This window comes from Homo sapiens, chromosome 5 (genome assembly GCF_000001405.40).
Source record: "Homo sapiens chromosome 5, GRCh38.p14 Primary Assembly".
Classification (NCBI taxonomy): Eukaryota; Metazoa; Chordata; class Mammalia; order Primates; family Hominidae; genus Homo; species Homo sapiens.
In genome coordinates, this window is record NC_000005.10 from 68,100,726 (window position 1) to 68,120,914 (window position 20,189).

General features: G+C 39.2%; 2 annotated features.

The window, feature by feature from the left end:
• Nucleotides 8,058-8,559: an enhancer, noted in NCBI's record as "NANOG hESC enhancer chr5:67404611-67405112 (GRCh37/hg19 assembly coordinates)". NCBI's record gives its function as "activates a minimal SCP1, AML or CMV promoter by ChIP-STARR-seq in naive H9 embryonic stem cells {active_cell/tissue: H9 hESC(naive)}" and the evidence as "EXISTENCE:reporter gene assay evidence [ECO:0000049][PMID:30033119]".
• Nucleotides 14,957-15,106: an enhancer, noted in NCBI's record as "active region_22628". NCBI's record gives its function as "activates an Ori minimal core promoter by ATAC-STARR-seq in GM12878 lymphoblastoid cells {active_cell/tissue: GM12878}" and the evidence as "EXISTENCE:reporter gene assay evidence [ECO:0000049][PMID:35858748]".

The following is a 20,189-nucleotide window of genomic DNA, read 5'->3' on the forward strand; positions in this document are numbered from 1 at the left end:
ATGTTTGGTGACTTTGACCTAGAAAGCAAGAGATGATGGATAGAGCCATGCGCAAAGACCAGCTCATGGCTTATCTCAGCCATGCTAAGGGGTCTGAACTCGATCCTGAGAACATCTGAGAATCCCTGAAGGAAACTGACTTGCTACGACTGTATTTTGGAAAGATCTGAATGTAGCTGAATAAACTTAACAGTAGTTATATGGGGGTGGGAGGGGAGGACAAGGGAGGAATTGGGGAGATGCCAAATTATCTTTTTGTTTGGCTTCTCTAGTTTCCCAACAGTGTTACTGCAATGATTTGGGAGAGGGAAAGGAGGAAGAAAAGTAAGGCAAAGAGCCTCAAGTTTTCCCTGGGCTTTTTGTACAAAGAAGTGATGCTGGCTAGATAGCAATTTGTACCTTTTTTTACTTCTTTGTACATATTCTTACTCTACCTTCACTAAGAAAAGCAAAAATCAATATTCCACTATCAGAAAGAGAACTTTTTTCATGATTCTTCTAATAATTATGGATATTACACTCAGCTACAGAGGTACTCTCTTCTATTAATAATAAACAACATTAATCCAGTAGCTGCTCAATAATTAGCTGTCTGTGGCTAAATTCTGGTTCACTGCTGTCCCAGTGTTTCTCAAAGTACATTTCTTTGACACACTAGCAGCAGTTTCACCTGGGATGCTCACTAAAAGTGTTAATTCCTGGATCCTGAGCCAGCTCCACTGAATCTGAATCTCTGGGGTTGGGGCTTAAAGGTTTGCATTTTAATAAACTATCTCTCTGATTCTTAAACAAGATAAAATTAGGGATCTTCTACCCAGACTATCTCTGGGCAGTGGTTCCCTAACCAATAGCAAGCTGGAATCACCTGTATTGAAAACACAATCCTGGATGTCTCCTAAAGATTTTATTTCATAGGTCTGGCCTGGGGCTCTGGATGGCTGAGAATCCTCTGAAAATCAGTGGATTTACCTGGTACACTTGATGGCACTCATACAGGTGGTCCAAAAGAAATGTGAGCACTTCCCACAGAGGCTCTCTTCACTTTGCCACACTGATTATCTAATCTTTTAATTATTCACCACTAAAAGGAGGTTTGATATGAATCCACAAAACATCTGCCTGCATGTCAACTGAGTATTTCTATGTATGTAAAAAACATTAGTGGTAATGACAGAGAAACTGAAATAAACTCCAATAACTAGAATTCACAAAGATCCAGGTGTGGATTCTCCTTGTTCACAGATAGCCTGACATACATTGTAAAATTCTTGGAGGCTTCAACCTAAGTGTAGTCTTTACTTGACCAAAAAATTTTTTTCTCTTTTTCAAAAATGATAACAGAAGTGAGTTACAACGAATATAGGCCTAAAATATCATTTTTCCAGTCTGTCAAGGTGATGATTAACCTAATGGCATTTCAGAGGTAGAAGTAGTCATCTTCATAGCATTAAAATGGAATTTCAGGCAAATTATTATTTGCTGGCATGAAAAATATATAAAATTGACTTGCGCAAGATGGCTAAATAGGAACAGCTCCAGTCTGCAGCTCCCAGCCTGATCGATGCAGAAGACGGGTGATTTCTGCATTTCCAAATGAGGTACCTGGTTCATCTCATTGGGACTGGTTGGACAGTGGGTGCAGCCCATGGAGGGTGAGCTGAAGCAGGGTGGGGGCATCGCCTCACCCTGGAAGCACAAGGGGTGGGGGGAATTCCATTTCCTAGCCAAGGGAAGACATGACAGACTACCTGGAAAAATGGGACACTACTGCCCAAATACTGCACTTTTCCCAAGGTCTTAGCAACCAGCAAACAAGCAGATACTCTCCCGTGCCTGGCTCAGCAGGTCCGAAGCCAACAGAGCCTTGCTCACTGCTAGTGCAGCAGTCTGAGATCGAACTTCGAGGCACACCCTGGCTGGGGGAGGGGCGTCCGCCATTGCTGAGGTTTGAGTAGGTAAACAAAGTGGCTGGGAAGCTCGAACTGGGCAGAACCCACAGCAGCTCAACAAGGCCTACTGCCTCTAGAATCCACCTCTGTGGTCAGGGCATAGCTGAACAAAAGGCAGCAGACAACTTCTGCAGACTTAAAAGTCCCTGTCTGACAGCTCGGAAGAGAGCAGTGGTTCTCCCAGCATGGCATTTGAGCTCTGAGAATGGACAGACTGCCTCCTCAAGTGGGTCCCTGACCCCTGTGTAGCCTAACTGGGAGACACCTCCCAGTAGGGGCCAACAGATACCTCATATAGGTGGGTGCCCCTCTGGGACAAAGCTTTCAGAGGAAGGATCAGGCAGCAATATTTGCTGTTCTGCAATATTTGCTATTGTGCAGCCTCCGCTGTTGATACCCAGGAAAACAGGGTCTGGAGTGGACCTCCAGCAAACTCCAACAGACCTGCAGCTGAGGGACCTGACTGTTAGAAGGAAAACTAATAAACACAAAGGAATAGCATCAACATCAACAAAAAGTTCATCTACATCAAAACCCCATCTGTAGGTCACCAACATCAAAGACCAAAGGTAGACAAAACCACAAAGATGGGGAGAAACAAGAGCAGAAAAGCTGAAAATTCTAAAACTCAGAGCACCTCTTCTCCTCCAATGGATTGCAGCTCCTCGCCAGCAATGGAACAAAGCTGGATGGAGAAGGACTTTGATGAGTTGACAGAAGTGGGCTTCAGAAGGTCAGTAATAATAAACTTCTCCAAGCTAAAGGAGGATGTTTGAACCCATTGCAAGGAAGTTAAAACCTTGAAAAAAGCTTAGATTAATGGCTAACTAGAATAAACAGTATAGAGAAGACCTTAAATGACCTGATGGAGCTGAAAACTGTGGCTCGAGAACTTCGTGTTGCATGCACAAGCTTCAATAGCTGATTCGATCAAGGGGAAGAAAGGGTATCAGGGATTAAAGATCAAATTAATGAAATAAAGTGAGAAGACAAGGTTAGAGAAAAAAGAGTAAAAAGAAACATACAAAGCCTCCAAGAAATCTGGGACTATGTGAAAAGACCAAATCTACATTTGAGTGGTGTACCTGAAAGTGACGGGGAGAATGGAACCAAGTTGGAAAACACTCTTCAGGATATTATCCAGGAGAACTTCCCCAACCTAGCAAGACAGGCCAACATTCAAATTCAGGAAATACAGAGAACACCACAAAGATACTCCTTGAGAAGACCAACCCCAAGACACATAATTATCAGATTCACTAAGGTTGAAACGAAGGAAAAAATGCTAAGGGCAGCCAGAGAGAAAGGTCAGGTTAACCACAAAGGGAAGCCCATCAGACTAACAGCAGATCTCTCGGCAGAAACCCTACAAGCTAGAAGAGACTGGGGGCCAATATTCAACATTCTTAAAGGAAAGAATTTTCAACCCAGAATTTCATATCCAGCCAAACTAAGCTTCATAAGTGAAGGAGAAATAAAATCCTTTACAGACAAGCAAATGCTGAGAGATTTTGTCACCACCAGGCCTGCCCTACAAGAGCTCCTGAAGGAAGCGCTAAACATGGAAAGGAACAACTGGTACCAGCCACTGCAAAAACATGCCAAGTTGTAAAGACCATCAACACTATGAAGAAACTGCATCAATTAATGGGCAAAATAACCAGCAAACATCATAATGACAGGATCAAATTCATACCTAACAATATTAACCTTAAATGTAAATGGACTAAATCCTCCAATTAAAAGACACAGACTGGCAAATTGGATAAAGAGTCAAGACCCATCAGTGTGCTGTATTCAGGAGACCCATCTCATGTGCAAAGATGCACGTAGGCTCAAAATAAAGGGATGGAGGAAGATCTACCAAGCAAATGGAAAGCAAAAAAAGGAGGGTTTGCAATCCTAGTCTCTGATAAAACAGACTTTAAACCAACAAAGATCAAAAGAGACAAAGAAGGCCATTACATAATGGTAAAGGGATCAATTCAACAAGAAGAGCTAACTATCCTAAATATATATGCACCCAATACAGGAGCACCCAGATTCATAAAGCAAGTCCTTAGAGACCTACAAAGAGACTTAAACTCCCACACAATAATAATGGGAGATTTCAACACCCCACTGTCAACATTAGACAGATCAATGAGACAGAAAGTTAACAAGGCTATGGAGGACTTGAACTCAGCTCTGCACCAAGCAGACCTAATAGACATCTACAGAACTCTCCACTCCAAATCAACAGAATATACATTCTTCTCAGCACCACACCACACTTATTCTAAAATTGACCACATAATTGGAAGTAAAGCACTCCTTAAAATGTAAAAGAACAGAAATTATAATAAACTGTCTCTCAGACCACAGTGCAATCAAATTAGAACTCAGGATTAAGAAACTCACTCAAAACCGCACAACTACATCGAAACTGAACAACCTGCTCCTGAATGACTGCTGGGTAAATAATGAAATGAAGGCAGAAATAAAGATCTTCTTTGAAACCAATGAAAACAAAAACACAATGTGCCAGAATCTCTGGGACACATTTAAAGCAGTATGTAGACGGAAATTTATAGCACGAAATGCCCACAAGGGAAAGCAGGAAAGATCTAAAATCAACACCCTAACATCACAACTAAAAGAACTAGAGAAGCAAGAGCAAACAAATTCAAAAGCTAGCAAAAGGCAAGAAATAACTAAGATCAGAGCAGAACTGAAAGAGATAGAGACAAAAAAAAAAAACCCTTCAAAAAATCAATGAATCCAGGAGCTGGTTTTTTGAAAACAGCAACAAAATTGATAGACTGCTAGCAAGACTAATAAAGAAGAAAATAGTGAAGAATCAAATAGATGCAATAAAAAATGATAAAGGGGATAACAGCACCGATCCCACAGAAATACAAACTACCATCAGAGAATACTATAAACACCTCTATGCAAATAAACTAGAAAGTATAGAAGAAATGGGTAAATTCCTCAACACATACACCCTCCCAAGACTAAGCCAGTAAGAAGTTGAATCTCTTAATAGACCAATAACAGGCTCTGAAATTGAGGCAATAATTAATAGCCTACCAACCAAAAAAAGTCCAGGACCAGACAGATTCACAGCTGAATTCTACCAGAGGTACAAAGAGGAGCTGGTACTATTCCTTCTGAAACTATTCCAATCAATAGAAAAAGAGGGAATCCTCCCTAACTCATTTTATGAGGCCAGCATCATCCTGATACCAAAGCCTGACAGAGACACAATAAAAAAAGAGAATTTTAGACCAATATCCCTGATGAACATCAATGCAAAAATCCTCAATAAAATACTGGCAAACCGAATCCAGCAACACATCAAAAAGCTTATCCACCACGATCAAGTTGGCTTCATCCCTGGGATGCAAGGCTGGTTCAACATATGCAGATCAATACATGTAATCCATCACATAAACAGAACCAATGACAAAAAACACATGATTATCTCAATAGATGCAGAAAAGGCCTTTGACAAAATTCAACAGCCCTTCATGTTAAAAATTCTCAGTAAACTAGGTATTGATGGAGTGTATCTCAAAATAATAAGAGCTATTTATGACAAACCCACAGCCAATATCATGCTGAATGGGCAAAAACTGGAACCATTCCCTTTGAAAACCAGCACAAGATGGCCAGGCGCAGTGGCTCACGCCTGTAATCCCAGCACTTTGGGAGGCCAATGCGGGTGGATCACGAGGTCAGGAGATCGAGACCATCCTGGCTAACAGGGTGAAACCCTGTCTCTACTAAAAAAATACAAAAAAAATTAGCCAGGCGTGGTAGCAGGCACCTGTAGTCCCAGCTACTTGGGAGGCTGAGGCAGGAGAATGGCATGAACCTGGCAGGCAGAGTTTGCAGTGAGCCGAGATCACACCACTGCACTCTGGCCTGGGCGACATAGCAAGACTCTGTCTCAAAAAAAAAAAAAAAAAGAAAAAGAAAAGAAAAGAAAACCAGCACAAGACAAGGATGCCCTCTCTCACCACTCCTATTCAACACAGTATTGGGAGTTCTGGCCAGGGCAATCAGGCAAGAGAAAGAAATAAAGGGTATTCAATCAGGAAAAAATTAGAAAAAGAAGTCAAATTGTCCCTGTTTGCAGATGACATAATTGTATATTTAGAAAACCCCATCGTCTCAGCCCAAAATCTCCTTAAGCTGATAAACGACTTCAGCAAAGTCTCAGGATACAAAATCAATGTGCAAAAATCGCAGGCATTCCTATACACCAATAACAGACAAACAGAGAGCCAAATCAGGAGTGAACTCCCATCCACAATTGCTACAATGGGAATAAAATACCTAGGAATCCAACTTACAAGGGATGTGAAGGACCTCTTCAAGGAGAACTACAAACCACTGCTCAACGAAATAAAACAGGATACAAACAAATGGAAGAATATTTCATGCTCATGGATAGGAAGTATCAGTATCATGAAAATGGCCATACTGCCCAAAGTAATTTATAGATTCAATGCCATTTCCATCAAGCTACCAATGACTTTCTTCACAGAATTGGAAAAAACTACTTTAAAGTTCATATGGAACCAAAAAAGAGCCCGCATTGTCAAGATAATCCTAAGCCAAAAGAACAAAGCTGGAGGCATCACGCTACCTGACTTCAAACTATACTACAAGGCTACGGTAACCAAAACAGCATGGTACTGATACCAAAACAGAGATATAGACCAATGGAATACAGCAGAGCCCTCAGAAATAATACCACACATCTACAACCAACTGATCTTTGACAAACCTGATGAAAACAAGAAATGGGGAAAGGACTCCCTATTTAATAAATGGTGCTGGGAAAACTGGCTAGCCATATGTAGAAAGCTGAAACTGGATCCCTTCCTTACACCTTATACAAAAATTAATTCAAGATGGATTAAAGACTTAAATGTTAGACCTAAAACCATAAAAACCCTAGAAGAAAACCTAGGCAATACCATTCAGGACATAGGCATGGGCAAGGACTTCATGACTAAAACACCAAAAGCAATGGCAACAAAAGCCAAAATTGACAAATGGGATCTAATTCAACTAAAGAGCTTCTGCACAGCAAAAGAAACTACTATCAGAGTGAACAGGCAAGCTACAGAATGGGAGAAAATTTTTGCAATCTACTCATCTGACAAAGGGCTAATATCCAGAATCTACAAAGAAGTCAAACAAATTTACAAGAAAAAAACAAACAACCCCATCAAAAAGTGGGCAAGGGATATGAACAGACTTCTCAAAAGAAGACATTGATGCAGCCAACAGACACATGAAAAAATGGTCATCATCACTGGTCATCAGAGAAATGCAAATCAAAACCGCAATGAGATACCATCTCACGCCAGTTGGAATGGCAATCATTAAAAAGTCAGGAAACAACAGATGCTGGAGAGGATGTGGAGAAATAGGAATGCTTTTACATGGTTGGTGGGAGTGTAAACTAGTTCAACCATTGTGGAAGACAGTGTGGTGATTCCACAAGGATCTAGAACTAGAAATACCATTTGACCCAGCTATCCCATTGCTGGGTATATGCCCAAAGGATTATAAATCATGCTACTATAAAGACACATGCACACGTATGTTTATTGCAACAGTATTCACAATAGCAAAGACTTGAAACCAACCCAAATGTCCATCAATGATAGACTGGATTAAGAAAATGTGGCACATATACACCATGGAATACTATGCAGCCATAAAGTAGGATGAGTTCATGTCCTTTGCAGGGACGTGGATGAAGCTGCAAACCATCATTCTCAGCAAACTATCACAAGCACGGAAAACCAAACACTGCATGTTGTCACTCATAGGTGAGAATTGAACAATGAGATGACTTCGACACAGGGCGGGGAACATCACACGCTGGGGCCTGTCGGGGGGTCAGGGGGCTGGGGGAGGGATAGCCTTAGGAGAAATACCTAATGTAAATGATGAGTTGATGGGTGCAGCAAACCAACATGGCACATGTATACCTATGTATCAAGCCTGCATGTTGTGCACATATACCCTAGAACTTAAAGCATAATAAAAAGAAAGAAGAAAGAAAGAAAGAAAGAAAGAAAGAAAGAAAGAAAGAAAGAAAGAAAGTTTAAAAAAATAAAATAAAATAAAATTCTGAGTGGCAGATGAGAGCCAAGGCTTGAGAGGGGCCATAAACCATGGAGAGATTGCTATCAGTGAAAGATGATTAATTCTCATAGAGACTAATAAATAAAGATAACAATATGTTGTATTATGCTTAGCACGTCTGGTACTTCAAAACTCATAATCAAAGCACAAACTGAAATTTGAGTCAGCCATCCTCACTGGGGAAGTTACCTCAGAGGTGACTCTGAACTGCTTTTTAATGAAATCAGCACTGCATGGGATGTAATCGCTGGCCTTCAGCTCAGGACAATGCAGTAATTGCAGGTGGTGAAAGGGGGATTATCAGCTTTCAAGCGGCTAAAGAGTCAGGTGGCATCAACTTTGTAAAGTGGATCAATATTTGTACAATCGATTTTTCTCTCTTTCTTTGGTCTTCAAATGTTAAAGGGTCAGAGAAAAGCATAGATGTATTGCAAGTTAAGAACAAAAAAAAAAACAAGAACATACATCTGAGTCACTTTTCTTAAGTTGTTGTCATCATGAAGTAACCACATATTAGTTATTAAAATCGGAATTTGAGAATTGAATGGGCAAGCTAAAATCCACTTAATCCAACTTGCTTCCTTTCTGGATGTAGAAACTTATGATCAGCTGAAATGAACTTATCATTTTAATGAATGTAGTATTTATTTCTTAAATACAAGTTCTATTGGAGCTATCCCATTGATTATTTTTAGGATTTCTTAAATTGAGATTCCATCTTTATATAAAATTCAACTCAGTTTTTTTCCCTGAAATTATGCTGTGTGCTTTAAATTATAACTTGTTTTTTTAGAAAAGGAAAATGTTACATTATCAGGAAGAGGCATAGAAATGACTATTTGAAAAACTCCTAAGCCATATAAAACTCTCATGAGACATTAATTGATCAAATTGTTCTTAATCATGATCTATGTGCCTGACACTGGGTTCATTGCCAGACCTAAAGGAACTAATAGCCCATAAAGGAAAAAAGACACCTGAACAAATATTTAATAAAGTGTTTCAATAAATATATGGTAAATATTGTGGTAAATAAAGATGTGGTAAATATTGCAATATTGGTACATAAATGCTGTGAAAAGAATTGGAAGTAAAACATCTTGAAAAAATAGTAACCTGTGTAATCTGGAATATTCTGTGGCAACATTTCCAAGGAATAGTATTAATAAATCACTTTAATTGCCCTTATCCAAGTCAGGATGACAAAATAAATGCTTTATATGAAATGGTGAAAAGCAGAAAAAATTAAAATTGGGGGACTTTGTTATTTCATAGGCTGTAATTTCTAGATGCTATTACTACAAAAAATACTTCATGGTAGAAATAATTTATGGACAGCATAGTACTTCATGTGGAATTATGCTGGCTGATAGAGATACAGAATTACTGAGTTCTGTTCTTGACAATCTCACAGTCTTCAGAGAGAAAAGACAGGTAAATAAATAACCATAAATGCTACAATAACTAAAGTACAGAGAAATGTTTCTCTTGAATCTGTTTTGGCTACACAAGATAAATCTCTTTGAAGGATATCAATGAAAAGTACAATCATAATTAGGAGCAGAATCCAAGCCTTGTAAATAGGAAGCAAGGTAGAACACACATTCTGTTGCCTACTCTGAGTTGGCACAAATCTGGCAGGTGTGGATTTGCATCCAGGTAACCACCTCAGGTTCACACAGGTCAGCACCTGCAGCCACAAACACAGTGATGGTTGGCAGCATTTTTGAAACTTTACCTACTAAATTAGTCTCCTGTTTCCACCTTCCAAATACCACCGTATGTATGTTAGTCTGGCCTTATTTTCTATCCTCCTTAAAGAGAACTAGGAATTTCAAACCTTCCAAAGGGCTGTGAAACCCAAATAAAGTGAATTTCCTGCTCCAGTGGTTCTCCAACTCTGACCATCAGTTTTTTTAAATGCAAATTCCTAGGACAATCCCGTATCTATCAAATTAAATCCACTGGGAGTAGAGCCGGGGGAACTGGTGGGTTTTTTTCAGGTACCCCAAAGGAATTCTGATATAGGTAGTTTATAAGCCTCACTTTGAGGAACACCACCTTAGGTTATACAAATATGTACATGCTAGTCAGATACCATCAGGTATTTTGATCCAAGAGTAAGGTGATAAAATGTCTCAGCCATATTTTTTAAGTGATTAAAGTTATGATAGTTTTCAGTTATATTCTGCAATTAACATGGCCTTGTATGCTTGTTATACACATTCACGAATGGGGAATTACATACAATAAACACTCTCCCCTTCCTCCTCCTCCCACTAGGCCACTTTCCACCCCAGAGGCTGAGCACTTGGTCACTGCATACAGAGCCTTCCAGGCCTGTTTCTATACAAGCACATATCTATAACTATGATACAATTAAGATTTACTGTGTTTTAATTTTACAGAAATCAAGCTTTTTTATTTTTCACTTAAAAATTTATACAGATTTTTGAAGTTAGAATTTATGAATACATTTCATTCTTTTTATTTATTCTATTATATTCTAGTATAAATATACCGTAAGTTGCTTAATTATTCTCAACAGATGTACATTTAGGTTATCTCTTTCCTTTGCTATTACAGAAAGCATTTCAGTGAAACATCTTTATGTATGCCTCTTTGTGCAAATGTGCAAGAATTTCTTAGGGATAGCCACATAGGTGTAGAATTTCTGAATCCAAAAGTATATACATTGTAAGTATCAATTGCCTTCAGACACTACCCTTTTACCACCACATAATAAAACCTAAATAAGCCTGGTATAATGTCTTGAGCCTGTAGTCCCAGCTACTTAGGAGGCTGAAGTGGGAGGATCCCTTGAGCTGAGGAGTTCAAGCCTAGTCTGGGCAACATAGCAAGACCCTGTCTCAAAAAAAAAAAAAAAAAGCAAAAAACAGACCTCTCTTTTAGCTTTATTTGGACCTTTGTAAAAAACAAACTAACTAAATAAACTTTTTTAAGCCAACTTGATGGGTGGAAATTATATCTTATGCGTTTAATCTGTATTTCCCTGATCATTACTCAATTGAGATTTTTTTTGAGAAGTATATGGGTCATCTGTGTTATTTCTGTGAATTGCCTACTCATATCTTTTGCCCACTTTTCCATTCGTCTGTTTATATTTATCTTGTTGGTTTATGGGCATTTTAAATAGTCTTGGTGGTAATAATATCTATGAAATAATGCTGAGAAAAGTAGAAAGAAAACCAACAATCACATAATAATTATAGAATTGGGGCTATAAATATGAAATTAATATTATAAGCAATATTTCAGTGTGTCTATTATATGTGTTTTTATTTTATTTATGATGCCTACTGTCATACAGAGCTGTTTTCTATTTTATGTAGTCTAACCTGTCCATCATCATGTCTATAGAGTCTAGATGTACTTACTGTCTCTGTTGCTTTCTGGATGTGCATGGGGGTGGCTGCTGGGGCGAAGAAGAGAGGCAGGGTAAAAATTGATCAGGGCTTTTTAGCTTCAGTGACTTCACAGTGAGTGGTACCATTAACTGACATAGGAGATGGAGGGAAAAAAGCAGACTTGAGAAGGAAAACCATTGTTGAGTTCTGTGTGGGGTACGCTGGGTTTCAGATTCCAGATGAAAATCTTGATTGCGATGCCCAGTACAAAGTTGAAAATGTACCCATCACTCACCAAAAAAGCAATTTTTTTTTTTTGAGACAGAGTTTCGCTCTTGTCACCCAGGCTGGAGGGCAATGCACGATCTCGGCTCAGGGCAACCTCCGCCTTCCAGGTTCAAGTGATTCTCCTGCCTCAGCCTCCCGAGTAGCTGGGATTACAGGCATGCGCCACCACACCCAGCTAATTTTTGTATTTTTGGTAGAGATGGGGTTTCACCACACTGGCCAGGCTGGTCTTGAACTCCTGACCTCAGGTGATCCACCCGCCTCCAAAGAAGCAATCTTTTTATAGATGTCTGTGGCCCCTGACTGGTGCTCACCTTCTAGTTTTGCTGTGTGAGCCTACTTTCTTTTGTTTACATGAGACTGGAGTCCAGCCATCAGCTCAAAGCACATGATGTCAAGTTTCTAGAACCAGATTGACTAGAGCCTGCTAATGAGCTCACTCTCATGGTCTGTGTTCTTGCCTGGAAATACAATATTGCATACATTTTTAAAATAAGCCCACTGGGGCAAAAATTATTCCTAAGCTCCTTGCAGAGGTTACTACCTGTTTGTTCTAATTTTCACGGTTTTTAAACAACTAGATAAACAGAAAATATTGGTGTTTCAGCAGCTACCTACTCTTTCTGCTTCAAGGCTTTTTACATTTTATGAATATGGACAGTTTAGACCTAGGTATAGGCTGTAATTATCAATATATTATTGACTTACCAGCTTGATATTTGCAAACTTTCCTATAGCCCTCAAATTTTACAGAGACACTGAAGCTTAGAGAGATTGAATGCCTTGCTCAACATCATGCTGCTAGTAAGTGAAAGTGCCCAGATTTAAACAAAATATGTTCCTTCATTTCTGGGAATAATGGTTAAGCCCTGAGCTCAAGAGAGAGGTCTAGGCTAGAAATATGGACCTGCGATACATTTCCTTGAAGATCTGGAGCTGAATACAGGTTTGGCTTCATGGATGTACAACTTGTGTAGTTATAAAGGAATGCTGTGTCCTCACCAAAACTCATGTGAAAATTTGATTCTCAAAGTAGTGATGTTGGGCAAGGGAGCCTAGTGGGAGATGTTTCAGTTATGGGGGCAGATCCCTCATGAATGGCTTGGTGCCATTCTTACAGTAGTGAGTTATCATCCTAGCGTGACTGGATTTGTTCTCCAGGAAGATCAGTTTCCATGTCAGTGAGTTGTTATAAAGCCAGCATGCCCCTCAGATTTTGTTTGTTCACAATGTATCTGCTTCCTTTTCAACCTTCTCTGCCATGTTATGATGCAGCACAAAAGCCCTCTCCAGAAGCCAGGGCCATACCCCTTGAACTTCCCAACCTGCAGAACTATGAGCTAAATAAACCTCTTTTCTTTATAAGTTTTATAAGTTATCCAGTTTCAAGTGTTCTATTATAGCAACACAAAACAAACAAATGAGGCCATGTCTGGCTTAATGTTCTGCTATTGCCATCTTGAAATTTTTAATAATTGTTAAGCAAATGACCCTGCATTCTTATTTTACACTAGGCCTCACAAATTATGTAGCCAGTCCTGGCTGAATGAGATTGTTTAAGGGATGTGAATAAATTAAGACTCACAGCAAGACAAGGGACAGAATCCTAGCAGACCCAACTTGGAAGTATTGGCAGAAGTAGAATTGTCCACGAAGAGAATTTTGAAATAATGATGCAAAAAGTAGAAAGAAAACCAACAGGCAGGGGTGTGGTAGGAAGTGAGGGAGGAGCTCAATAAAGGAAGAGAGGATCCACAGTGTCACCTGTTATAAGGGGTCCCCAGGCCACTAAAAACTAAAATGAGGCATTTGTCTTTTGAGGGGTCAGAAAGTGAGAAACGGTGCTGGCAGAGGCCAGATGCAGCTCAAGTGTGACAAGGAGGTCATGAAGTGAAGCTGGTGTGAATAGACTATCCAAGGAAGAATTTTGGGAAGCAGTTTGGAGGCTATGCAGACACAAGGGACAGCAATTTTTTAATGGGAGAAATCAGAAAATGTCTATGCCTGGGGGAAGAAGCAAGAAAGGGGAAATAAGTAGAAATAAAAGAACGGATGATTCAAGAGAAATTAGCATTATCATGAGGTCTGAGGTCATATGTAAAAGAATGAGGTAGATGATGGGCATGCAGTTAGACAGAAGAACAGAGAGAAAAGAGAATGAGTACAGATAAACAAGGGAAGGTGGAAGGTAAGGAAACTTAAGGAGTTTATGCTGGGTAACCTCTGTTTTTTTCTAATTACATAGGAACAAGACTTCAAATGTGAAGATAGGAGGAGCAAAGATAAAAGTCATTTCTAATTGGAAAGAGAGCCAACCATGCATGAGTAATGGAAAAGTCAGGCTGTGCGGTTACTGACTCCCTGAAATTTTTGTCAGACCACATGCAACATTTTCTTGCATGGCTATGAATCAAACAGGAGAGAGTCATCTTCACATTTCTGTCCAGTTGGTTTTAGTTGTTCAGAATTATTTACAAAGTGACATGTTTCTTGAATGCTTTCTTATATTCTAGATCTGAGAATTATCAGAGGTAAGGCAGAAAGAATTAGCTTAGCTCTGCTTTTGGCAGCATGAGGATTCCAGGAAGTATTGATATTCAAATTCTCTAATTATACTAATTTTTGAATCTGTGTCACTTCTTTTTCCTTTTCAAAAAAATTTTTTGTAGAGATGGGGTCTCACTATGTAGCCCAGGCTGATCTTGAACTCCTGGCCTCAAGTAATCCTCCTGCCTCAGCCTCCCTAAGTGGTGGGATTACAGGTATGAGCCACCTCACCCAGCCTGAGTCTGTGGCATTTCTGTGCAAGCCTACTAGGCTCCAGACATTTTTATATACATCATCTCATTTAATCCTTGTAAGATTCCTATGTCATTATCTTAATCATGCAGAGAAAGAAATTGAAACTCCAAGAACTGATAATTAAGTTCAAGGTCACAGGTAGTACCAATCAGGATTCAACCAGACCATAACAACACTGTGGCCACTGCCCATTCCCCAACCATATGCATTAAAATCACCTTATGAGTTATAGTAATTTTGCACAGATGGTCCCACATGAAGTTTATAAACAACCCTGAGAGGTAGATATTATTATTTTCAGTTTACAGATAAGAAAACTGAGATTCAATGTGACTTGCCCCAAATCACTCAGTGGGTGAATTCAGCCTTTTTAGCATAAAAACCCATGCTATTTCCAGAAAATACATTTAGGGCAGCATTCCTCCCAGTGAACCATATCAGGTTTGCATATAGCCACTGAATTTATCTTGAGATGATACTGTCTGAGAATGCACAGCCTGCAGGTGTGGTTACCTAAAGAGAGAAAGTGTATAAGTTGATGGGAACTGAGACTTTCCCCAAAGGGTGTAGAGTGTAGAATTAAAAAGGAACCAGGGTCACATTGGGCAAATGTGACCGTTGTTCTCTGTGAAGAGTTACCCAAAGATTGGAATATGTCCTTGGGGTTGCCGAGGTGGCAGCTGTGTATCCAGGATGGAGAAGGGGAGAGTAAGACAAAGTTCCCCTTTTGCTTAAAAGGACCAGGTGGAGGTCCATGAAAGGACAAGCCTGTAACCCAGAAACTGCAGGGAATCCAAAGAGCCAGTGGTGGCAGGGGAGAAAGCCCACGATCCTCTAAGGGGGCCCCTGCCTTGTTTGAGGCTGAAAACTGAGTGATCCTGAGAAGTCAAAGATAGAGGAAGAACCCTCTTGCTGGAGAGAAGCAAAACAGGGAGGTCCTGGCCAAATTTTTTTAAGTTAATTTTAAGCCTATGCTAAACTATAACTTACCAAATCTCTATATTGCTTGGATGCCCTGAAGTGTTGTGCATCATAGTTTGAGGCAATGTGTTCTATTTCATTTACATGGTTTGGGGAACAGTTCTGCAGTAGAATTAAATGGGGAAAGTCAGAAGCTCCTCAAAGGGCCATCTTTCAAGGAGAATTTCTTCTTAGTTTGAATGAGTGGTGATAGCAGAAAGTTACCAGAATAATCAGCAGCAGTACGCAGGAAAGCACCTTCTACACACAGGCTGCCTTCCTGGCACCTTTTGTCCCTCATAGTGATCTATTCACACTCCCAGTGGTTACTGTGCGACCCCAGGATCTCTTCCCACAGTTTCAGTCCAGAGTTCATCTGGCCTCTCCCACCAATACACATTGACCTCCTGTTCCTCCTAGGTCTGGCTCTGCAAGCTTACTAAATCAATGTCACAAGTTTCTCACCAGGGTTAGTAACTTATAAGTGAGAAGTTGCTCAGATTATCATTACTAGGACAATAATTATGACCTTCAGTCTTATTGGAGCAAGAGAAAATGTCTAGGTTTATATATGTAATTCTATGTATGAATATGTGTGCGTACACATATATTTACACACACACACACAGTGCCATCAGCAGTTTATCTGAAATTGATTTTCATTATGAAAGGCAAAATGAAAATTGGAAGCTTCATCAAAATAAGACGACATGAGTATTGCATGTTGCCAAAACCATTAAAATGAATGAGATAGTTATGCTCCTAGCACGGGGCCACCAGCTTAGGGTGGAGTGTTATCACAGCCCTGCTGGTTAATCAGCAGTTCTCCAAGGACAGCTGCTATTTGGTTGGTTAATGTATTTCTGTTTGGCATGTGCCCTCATGTTGTTGAATATCTGAAGTGTGTAGTTTAGCAAAGCAGACACAGAAGGATTATATTCCTATGACTTGACTGCAGACATAGCTGACTAGACATAATTTTTCTTTACAAACTTTATCTTGTACTATTAGCAATATTTAACCCAGCATATTTTCCATTCATGTAATTTACCAAAAAAAAAAAAATAGGCATTTAAAATGTTCAGAGTAACACACCACTTTGGAAAAGAGTTTGTCAGCTCCTTAAAAAATTAAATGCAAATCTACCATACTAATTCAGCCATTCCTCTCCTACGTGTTTATCCAAGAAAAATGAAAGCAAATGTCCATACAAAGATTTATAGAACAAGAATGTTCACAGCAGCTTTATTTATGATAGCAAACATCTAAAAGCAACACAAATATCCATCAGCAGGTGAATAGATAAGCCAATTGTGGTACATGCATGCAATGAAATACTACTTGGCAATAAAAATGAATGAGCTGTTGATACAATGAAATCACACGAATGAATCTCAAAATAATTATGCTGAGTGAAGGAAGTCAGACAAAAAAAGAATACATATTGTCTGACTCCATTTACATAAAATTATAGAAAGTGTGAACTGATCTATAGTGATGGAAAGCATATCAGTGGTTGAGTACACAAAGAAACAAGTTCATTAACTTGATCGTGGTGATGGATTTATAGGTATATGCATATGTAAAAACTTATCAAATTATACAATGTTAAAGATGTGTTATTTATTGTATTTCAATTATATCACAATGGATTTTTTAAAAGTAGAGACTGTATGTAGGAATGTGGACAAAGTAAACAAGATTGGCAAGGATATCCTTGCTCTATAGGAGCTGTTTGGTTAAGAAGGCACTACATGACCAACTCAATAATAGAAGGTGAGAGAAAATCATGTATATGCTTATTTTGCATTAGTTACATATTTCTTTTCACCATCTCTACGTCTTCTTCTCACCTCCTGCCCCCAATCCTCTCATTGATTAGTAAGTGCTATTATTGAAGCAGAGATATTTTGGTTCATTGTTAGCAATTTCAGCTTCTGTTAATATCTTTCTTCCTCTTGACTTAGGGTGGAAATTTAGCATTACAACTGTAAAAAAAAATATTAGGAGTAGAAGTTGAAACTGAGGTTGAGAGAGAACAGTTAATAGAGCAGTTTAGTAGTAGGTAGAAATTAGAATTTGGGAAGTTTGCCTTGGAAAGAAGGGCGGATACTTTTGTTTAGGGAAATGGGACCAAAGGAATAGAGGAGGAGATGGAGGGATATTGAAGGAGTTGGAACACCGCTTAGCAAATGGTCTTTTTTCTGACATGTTAATGGAATAGTCTTAAGATAAAGATAAGGAATATAAAAAAGGGGCTGGGATTTGAGGCAAAAGAAGAATTTGGGAATAGTCCCATGGGAAATCACTAGGGAGTCAACAAGAAGTGGGGGGAAAAAAAGAAAAACAAAAGCTTTGCTGAATAGCACCGAAGCAGCACTTGAACTCAACTAGCATGAATTTCTGTGGAGTGCCCTTAGCATGGTTTAGAAAATTTTCAACAATATTAGTGGTATTCAGTTAGAGGCACAATCAGCCTTCATTGTCAGAAGCAGAAAAAAGTGTTTGCACCTTTAAAAAAATTAAAGTTCATTCTCAGCCAGATAAACTATTATATTAAGAAAAATTGAGGGGCTGGGCAAGATGGCTCACACCTGTAATCCCAGCACTTTGGGAGGCTGAGGTGGGTGGATCATGAGGTCGGGAGATCGAGACCATCTTGGCTAACACAGTGAAACCCTATCTCCACTAAAAATACAAAAAATTAGCCGGGCGTGGTGGTGGGCACCTGTAGTCCCAGCTACTCGGGAGGCTGAGGCAGGAGAATGGCGTGAACCCAGGAGGCGGAGCTTGCAGTGAGCCGAGATCGCGCCACTGCACTCCAGCCTGGGCGACAGAGCGAGACTCTCTCAAAAAAAAAAAAAAAAAAGAAACTTTGAGTTATGCTTTTCAAAATGTTTGCTCACAGATTTTCAACTACTTTCAGTAACGTATATTGTTTCCCAAACATGCACTTTATTGTATGTAGCAACTGAGTATTTTTACAACTAACTATAAATAAAGCTATTGTAACCAGCTTATTTACTTCCTGGTTTCAATGTGGTAGGCACTACTTTAGGCATTTTAAATATATTAACTCATTTAATGCTCATAACAATGCAATTACATGCTTCACAAAGGAGAAAACTGAAGCACACAGAGGTTAGACTTCTGATAAATGACAAAGCTAGGATTCAAGAATCTGGCTCCAGGGCCCAGTTTCTAACCTATATAATATAGTGCCTTGCATACAATTATGATATTACATTATGTTAGTCATGTATGTCACAATTATACCAAATAAGCCAGAGTCATGGAATACAATCAGAAAGCAACTTTCTTTTCATCCCCCACTGTACTTTTACATTTATTCAGTATGTCTAGTCCATCCCTATTTCTGAATGAAATTTAGGGCAATCTCATGACTTTTAGAGTTACTCTTAATAATTTAAGATCGTGCAATCAGTAATATACACATCCAGTCCAGTGCAATAGCTAGCATTTAAATTTCATCAAAAGCTGATTCTTTTTTTCCAGTGCAGGCCTAATCACCCTAGCAACCTATGAAAATGGTAGTAGGAAGGAAGTTTGACTTTTTCTCTCTCTTTCCCACCTTGCACTTTTATACTTCCTGACCTGCCTTGTTTACTGTGCTTTCTGACGCCTACCTCCAAGGTCAAAGGGGGAAGAGGAGCTTAAGTGGCAGCAAACGTCTAACTAACAACACTGTGGTATTAGTGCCTTGCAGTTATGGGTTCACAGCCTACCATCTCCCAGAGGCACTTTGGTGGTCTGTTTGCAATTCTTTCCTTACCACCAGGGATTTCTTACTTGCAGTTCCCTTGAGTAAGGCAAGCCCAGCTGATCATTAGCTACTTCCTTGACTTTCTAGGTAACTGACAGTTTCCTTCTGTTGGGGTATGCACACACTTAGACAGTTCTCTTGAACAAAACTTAGGTGGTCCCGTACAGGCATTCTTTCCCATTGAACCATATGTGATCCATGAGAAACATTCAAGCATCATTTGTCCTGACCAACTCCCAATGGTCCAGGCCACTAACATAGCCATCTCTCCTTTGATAAGCCACCTCTTTTACATTTTCCATAAAGGATTCGGGAGCACAGTTCACCTAGAACTGTAAACTGTAGAGAATAGTTTATTCGGTTCTTTAAATCTCTCATATCTTGACTTGAGGTGAAGGAGAAAGTAGTTCCCAGGCAACCTCTTCCATTTAGGTTAAAGGACTTATAGCACACCCCTAGCTGTCTCCAAAAAATTCTCCTATAATCTTTGATCCCATCTCCTTTTGTTTATTTATGAGAGTGCATTAAGAGTTACAAACCTAAATTTCTAACAATCAAATTCAGCAAGTTTGCTGGATATAACAGCACTATACAAATTCAATAGTGTTCCTAGGTGGTTATCAGTAACCAAATACGTAATATTTATAAGCATAATAAAATATAATTTAGAAGCCATTCACAATAGCAACAAAAATTACAAGGCATCCAAAAATAAATTTACTCTATATAAGATAGTTATGGGAAGGCACAATATCATAAAGTCTGTTCCTCCAACATTTTCTATAAATGCAATAATATTCCAAAATTTTTAATAACTACAATGAAATGTTTCATGTCATTTAACAACTAATGAAAAATATATACAAAAGATTAAAGGGTGGGAGT